This window comes from Homo sapiens, chromosome 17, assembly GCF_000001405.40.
Source record: "Homo sapiens chromosome 17, GRCh38.p14 Primary Assembly".
Taxonomy (NCBI): Eukaryota; Metazoa; Chordata; class Mammalia; order Primates; family Hominidae; genus Homo; species Homo sapiens.
Genome location: NC_000017.11, coordinates 41185884 through 41193069, shown reverse-complemented (window position 1 = coordinate 41193069; position 7186 = coordinate 41185884). Strand labels below are relative to the sequence as shown.

The following is a 7186-nucleotide window of genomic DNA, read 5'->3' as shown; positions in this document are numbered from 1 at the left end:
GCCACAGTTGTGGGGTGGGGGGAGCGGGTAGAGATAGCATTAGGAGATATACCTAATGTAAATGATGAGTTAATCGGTGCAGCAAACCAACATGGCACATGTATACATATGTAACAAACCTGCACGATGTGCACATGTACCCTAGAACTTACAGTATAATAAAAAAATATAAAAATATATAAATTAAAATTAAAAAATAATAATAATAATTAAAAAGAAGGTGGCCACAGTCAAAACCTCTTAGTGTCCTCCCAAAGCTGAATTAGCCTTCGTACTGCTGCGTCCTCTGGCTATTCCTTTCCTTATTCAGTTTCTCATCAGAAGATCCAGTTTCCTCCATTTAGGAACCAACTTAATGCCCATCTTGGCTTTAAATAGTGCATCATTTGTTCCCATTTTCATGTTTCTAACATTTCTCCCTTTTTTTCTGAAAATTCTGATTTTGACTTCCTTTAGCATAATTGACTTTATCTTCTTTATCTCATAAAACACAGGGAGTTATTTTGTTTTCTTTTATGGCCCAGAGATTATGATTAGATCAAAGGGCATAAGTCCATTGCATGGTTACCTTAATTCTTAGGATTCTGTACAAATTTATCTTCCCTTAACAAAGTTCATGTTAGGAAACAAAATTGCCTCAAAATTTGGGAACCCAGGAAGCATGGTCCAATCTTGTGCGCTTTGCAAAAGTGATTCTTAATCCTAATTCCTGTTAAAATAAATGAAATGATACCCAGATGCTTAATCATGACAGCAAAGAGGAGGTTCTTCGTGGTGAGAGTAGGGCCGGGAAAACCCATGTCACACTAGTTGTTGGTGACAGATTCTTCAGTGGTGGATCAGAATCCAGAGACACAAAGCTCTTTTCATGGACTAGAACACTTTTTAAAAAGTTTTATTTATTTTTATTTTTTATTTTACTCTAAGTTCTGGGTTACACGTGCAGAATGTGCAGGTTTGTTACATAGGTATACATGTACCATGGTGGTTTGCTGCACCTAACAACCTGTCATCTAGGTTTTAAGCCCCGCATGCATTAGGTATTTGTCTCAATGCTCTCCCTCCCCTTGCCCCCCATCCCCCGACAGGCCCTGGTGTGTGATGGTCCCCTTCCTGTGTCCATGTATTCTCACAGTTCAACTCCCACTTATAAGCGAGAACATGCAGTGTTTTGTTTTTCTGTTTCTATGTTAGTTTGCTGAAATGATGGCTTCCAGCTTCATCCATGTCTCTGCAAAGGACATAATCTCAATCTTTTTATGGCTGCATAGTATTCCATGGTGTATATGTGACACATTTTCTTTATCCAGTCTATCACTGACAGACATTTAGGTTGGTTCCAAGTCTTTGCTATTGTAAATAATGCTGCAATAAACATACATGTGCAGGTGTCTTTATAGTAGAATGATTTATAATCCTTTGGGTATATACCCAGTAATGGGATTGCTTGGTCAAATGGCATTTCTGGTTCTAGATCCTTGAGGAATAGCCACACTGTTGTCCACAATGGTTGAACTAATTCACACTCCCACCAAGAGTGTAAAAGCATTCCTAGAACTCTTAAAGATGGTCTCTAGTGGTCATAGAGGTGGGGAGAGTATTTGGGAAGTGCTTTGTAGATAGAAAAGTGTTTGCTTGAGATGTGACTTAAAATGTACATCTTCCCTGCACTCAATCACCACTGTTGCATCTACCCGGAGAAAAATGTTTTTAAAAAAGTGTCCTTAACCTGGATTCAAAGTACCTGGTCATTGAACCTTCCCTTGTCAATTGCTAGTTGTATGGCAAATCATTTTCTCATCACTAAAATGTTTGCTCTGTCCAACTTGTAGGTCATTGTGAGACTTGAACAAGATAATAAATATAAACCACAACTCAAAAGTAAGGCTTCACAAAGCAACTGCTGCAAACAAACAAACAAATGGAACAAAAATCATACCATAGGATGCAGGATAATATAAATTTTATTAGGAAAGACCAGGTAGGGAGACAATTAAAAGTGATCATGAAAGAGTTTAGTAATCTGGCAGAGGCTACTAAATAAAATGTATATATCTAAAAAGATGATCAGTATTGATCATTATAGAGAGTTAGATATGCAGTCTTAAGAATTTTTTTTTAAGTTCCATAGGGGCAAAAGCTGATGACCACTTTCTGTGGCTGAGTCCATGTATCCATGTCAATTAGGTGGAGTTGACTGACCACCATCTGGTACATTAACACAGAGGGAATGAAGAAGAATGAAAGTGAGGTAGACTGCAAACCTTCAGCAGAATCCCAAGCATGGTAGGAAGAAGATGATCACAAAGTTCAGTGTCAGAATGTTGTTTCTCAGAAAAGCTTAGCGAATGTTTCTTGGTGGAATAGGAACTTTGACAAAATGTTTCAGGAAATATGTCTCTGGTGGGTGGTGGGTCTGCAGCAAGTGGATTAGCAGCAGGAAGGCTGGCAGCAGCTGGAGACACAGCAAGGACTGCAGCAACAGCTGGGGCGGCAACAGGTGGTCCTGTAGCAGGTGGTCTGGCAGCAGGTGGGACGGCAGCAAGGCAGACAATAGCTGGACTCATTGCAGGTTTGGCTACAGCAGCTGGACCCACCACAGGTTGGCTGGCAACAGGGTGTGCTGCAGCATCTGGTCACACAGGATGGTTGGCAGCAGGTGGATCTACAAATGGTTTGACAGCATGTTGGGTGGCAGCAAGGCTGGCAGCAGCTGGACCCACAGCAGGTGGGCTGGCAAGAGGTGTTCCTGCAGCAGGTGGGCTGGCAGCAGGTAGGCTGGCAGCAGGTGGTCCTGAAGCAGATAGTTTGATAGCAAGTCGGGTGACAGCAAGGCTGACAGCAACTGGACCCACAAATAGGCTGACAGCAGCTGGACCCACAGCTGGTTTGGCCACAGCAGCTGGACCCACAGCAGGTGGGCTGGCAGCAGGGTGTGCTGCAGCAGGAAGGCTGGCAGCAGCTGGCCACACAAGTGGGCTGGCAGCAGGTGGTCCTGCAGCAGGTGTTTTGACAGCAAGTTGGGTGGCAGCAAGGCTGGCAGCAGCTGGGCACACAGCAGGAGGGCTGGCAACAGGGTGTGCTGCTGCAGGTGGTCACAGTGGTGGGCTTCCAGCAGGTTGTCCTGCAGCAGGTGGTCCTGCAGCATGTAGGCTGACAGCAAGGGGAACAGCAGTGGGTCATGGTGTCAGGGGTGAAGGGTGGGCTCCTGTTCAGAGGTGAGTTTCCAAGAATCTGATGACCCCCTTCTAGTATCTGGACCTTTTATACACTGGTTCCCAAATCTGGAACCAATGAGCAGAATTTTCCTGGTTATTATTTATGACATTATTTTTCATAACCTATAGGGAATTGCCCAGGGACGAAGTGTTCCTTAAGTGTTATGAATCTTCTGAAAATAAATGATTGTTCTACTTAACAATAGATAACCCATAAAAACTTATATCCAGAAGTGAGAGAGGTGATCAACATCAATAGCATCATTTAACTATAAAGTATATATTTTTATTTATTATTTTACTGCTATTATTATCTTAGAGACAAGGTTTCACCTGTCACTCAGGCTAGTGTGCAGTGGCGCGATCATAGCTCATTGTGGCCTTGAACTTCTGGACTTAAGCGATCCTCCTACCTCAGCCTCCCAGAGTGATGGGATTACGGGCATGAGCCACTGTGCCTCGCCTGAATTATCATTCTTTAAGACAGAGTACATTGACTGATCCCCTGACAACTGAAACTAACTTGAAGAGGCCAGAACTATTGTCACCACCTACATTTTCCCCTCCAGCACTAGAACATGGTGATTAACTCAAGGTGACAAATGTAAACCATATTTTAAAATATTTTCCGTTAAAATGTATTTTTTATCAAACTTTTCATCTGTGTCACACAAACACAGATTCAATGACAGTAATTCTAATAGTAATAGCAACTCCACTTGGGTATCTCAATTCCTGAAACAGGGGACTGGGCTCAATTGTAATTGTCGTAATCTTTTCCATGCTGAGCTCCACATCTGTTGATGGCCCTAAGTACAAACATCCCTGGGTACATGATGTTTACGCTTAGTGGTGCAAAGAAAAGTTTAAAAGCAGTTAGTCAGACAACTAAAATATTTTGCTTTGAATTGCAGTTTGAAAATACAAACACCGTTGTGTGTGTTTTTTTTTTTTTTTTTGAGACGGAGTTTCGCTCTGTCGCCCAGGCTGGAGTGCAGTGGCGCGATCTCGACTCACTGCAAGCTCCGCCTCCCGGGTTCACGCCATTCTCCTGCCTCAGCCTCCCGTGTAGCTGGGACTACAGGCGCGCGCCACCATGCCCGGCTAATTTTTGTATTTTTAGTAGAGACGGGGTTTCACCGTGTTAGCCAGGATGGTCTCGATCTCCTGACCTCGTGATCCGCCCGTCTCGGCCTCCCAAAGTGCTGGGATTACAGGCGTGAGCCACCGCGCCCGGCCGTGTGTTTTAAATGAAGGAACAAACGGGACGAGAATGACTCCATCATGTGTATTAATGGGGAAAACACAGAATAAGTTGCATAATATTTTGGATGCTTAGCAATTTCCATATCTGGCTAATCTATTCAAATAAAGAGTTTCTTATTTTCACTGGCAACAAAATGGTCTTTTGATACAGCTTGACTTGCTCTGACTTAAACTGTGGCTAAAAATTTCTGCCATCTCTGCTGCTGAGGCATCCTGACCTTAGCTGTGAAGGTGGACACAGCCTCTGTTTGCTGGTCCAGCATATGGGTAATGGCATTGCCAGTTCATCCCATAAAATGATCTGGTGCAGTTCATTTAGTCAGAATGAAGTTATAGTGAAGGAGAGGATGGGGTGGAGTATTCTTCACTTGTGTCTCCACCCTGAGAATGGGTTTGGCACATAGCGGGAACCAAAACATGATTATTGAATGAAGAACTTTACATTTACTAGCTTGATTTTTTTTTTTTGGAGATAGAGTCTTACTCTGTTGCCCAGGCTGGAGTGCAGGGGCGTGATCTTGGCTCAATGCAACCCCCGCTTCATGGGTTCAAATGATCCTCCTGCCTCAGCCTCCTGAGTAGCTGGGACTACAGGCACGTGCCACCACTCCCGGCTAATTTTTTGTATTTTTAGTAGAGATGGACTTTCACCACGTTGACCAGGCTGGTCTTGAACTCCCGACCTCAGGTGATTCACCCACCTTGGCCACCCAAAGTGTTGGGATTACAGGCGTGAGCCACTGCGCCCAGCCCTAGCTTGAAAATTTGGACTAACAACCATTTGTAATAGGACTGGGGAATTAATTAGGGCATTGGTTCGGAAAAGAAACAGAATGAGCAATTCTATTCTGAACAAGTTAAATTTGAAGCCACGTGCCTTAGATGTTTTTTAGCTACTTCATAATTTATAAGTGTGCTATGCTGATTTCATTAGCAGCTATTTGCTATAATGTACTGGGGTCTTATTTTTTGGGTATTAACATATCCATGTTTACATCTATTTTAAATACTGTTCAAATTGAAGGGACTGTGGCTATGCAGCTCATTCAGGAACAGTAAATTAAATGGTTGGAACAAAAGAATGACTCGTCCTGTGCTCAGAATATCAAATGACACACTCTGAAAAGTATATGAAGGAATGGATGAGATGATGCTAAAACAAAAAAGGAAGAAAAATGGTGCTTTTAGGGATAAATAACTGATTAAATGGAAATTACCTTAGCATCCATTTTAAAAACCAAGGCTAACTGCTACAATGTCATGCTTCAATCAGAATATCTGATCATTTCTCTTCAGGTAAGATAAACAATAGCAAGGAAATAACCCAGGTCATGGTGATGGCAAGTCCTCAGCAGGGTAGAGAAGGAAACTTGGAAGGAAGAAGGCTTATGAACTCTAGTACCTTATGCCACTGAAAACCCACACCCAGAACCTCCACCTTCTGACACCATGGTCAGCTCCTGCTGCAGCTCCTTCTGCTGTCACCAGAGGTGTGGTTAAGACCTCTGCCAAGAGATCTGCTGCCATCCCAGCTGCTGCCAGACCACCTGCTGCAAGACCGCTTGCTGCTGCCGCAGCTTCTGTGAGTTCAGTTGCTACCATCCAGTCTGCTGCCAGACCACCAATCTGTGGATCCTGTTGTTGAATTTCATTCCTGACCACCAGCCTGAGTCAACTACCATGTTGAAAACATACTTGTTTTAAGGAGAAGGGTTATCTCTAAGCTGTCTCCCCTGCCTTCAGACAGAGAGGGCTATTTCTAAACAAACAAGTGACCATAGAACTGTGGCTCAGTTAGACCAGAATCCCAAGCCTATGATACCTGCACTTGCTTTGACCTTGATAGTGACTTCCTTATGATACATTAATTATGTCTGCAAAAATATTAATATTCTTGTTGTCATAAGAAGTTGGGCTACATTCAAACTAAGTGCAAAGAAAAAAACCTGTTATAAATAGACAGGAAGGTGATAAAACTGCAATCATAGCAGAGGCTTTAAACATACTATTTCAAAAACGGTCATTTGAAGAAGAAAAGTAAACAAAGATATGGAGAATTTGAGTAAAATCATTATCAACTTAGACACAATGGATATTTTTATGCCATTTTATGCCTAACGAACTGAATTTTCATAATTTTTATATATACCCCAAATAGTCATAAAATATGTCCATAAAAATATATTCTAAATATGTTCTTGTATCCTTCCTTCCATCCCCTCTTCCCTCCTTCCTGAATAACTCAGTCTAAATAGAAAGTAGGTGTCTGCATGGGATAGGGATGGCCTAAAGAGATAACATTCTTAATTTCTTTTTTTAAAAATTAATGTCGTCTTGCACTTATAGAAAAATTGCAAGAATAGGTCAAAGAGGTTTCTTTGGTGATAAAAAGAAAGTGATGCTTCACTGCCTCTGAGCACTAGTGTGTGTTGCCTACATCAAGGGCTTTCCCCTCCGTAAACACAATAGAATTTAAAATCAGGCTTTATTCTTGCAAACAATGTTGCAAAGAATACCCTTGAACTTACATCTTGGAAGGTATGTATAGGTGCATCTGTTGAATACATTTCTAGAAGTGAAAAGGCTCAATCAAAACACACGCACATTTCAAAATATGCTAAATTAATTTAAGATACTGTTAAATTTCAGATTCTGTTAATTACCATCTAAAGAAGTTGCCTCAATTTAGATCCCTGCCAACT

At 42.0% G+C, this 7186-nt stretch overlaps 1 protein-coding gene and 1 pseudogene across 1 annotated transcript; one reads left to right on the top strand and one right to left on the bottom strand.

Annotated features, from left to right (window-relative positions):
- Positions 1-2430: 2430 nt before the first annotated feature.
- On the bottom strand, positions 2431-3183 carry KRTAP9-1 (keratin associated protein 9-1). Its single transcript, NM_001190460.1, has one exon. It carries the CDS (start codon positions 3181-3183, stop codon positions 2431-2433), a length of 753 nt encoding a protein of 250 aa, NP_001177389.1.
- Positions 5334-6726, top strand: KRTAP4-17P (keratin associated protein 4-17, pseudogene; annotated as a pseudogene).

What these genes read in the sequence shown, in the direction of transcription:
- KRTAP9-1 (NM_001190460.1), bottom strand. Translation starts at nt 3,183, where the DNA reads ATGACCCACTGCTGTTCCCCTTGCTGTCAGCCTACATGCTGCAGGACC.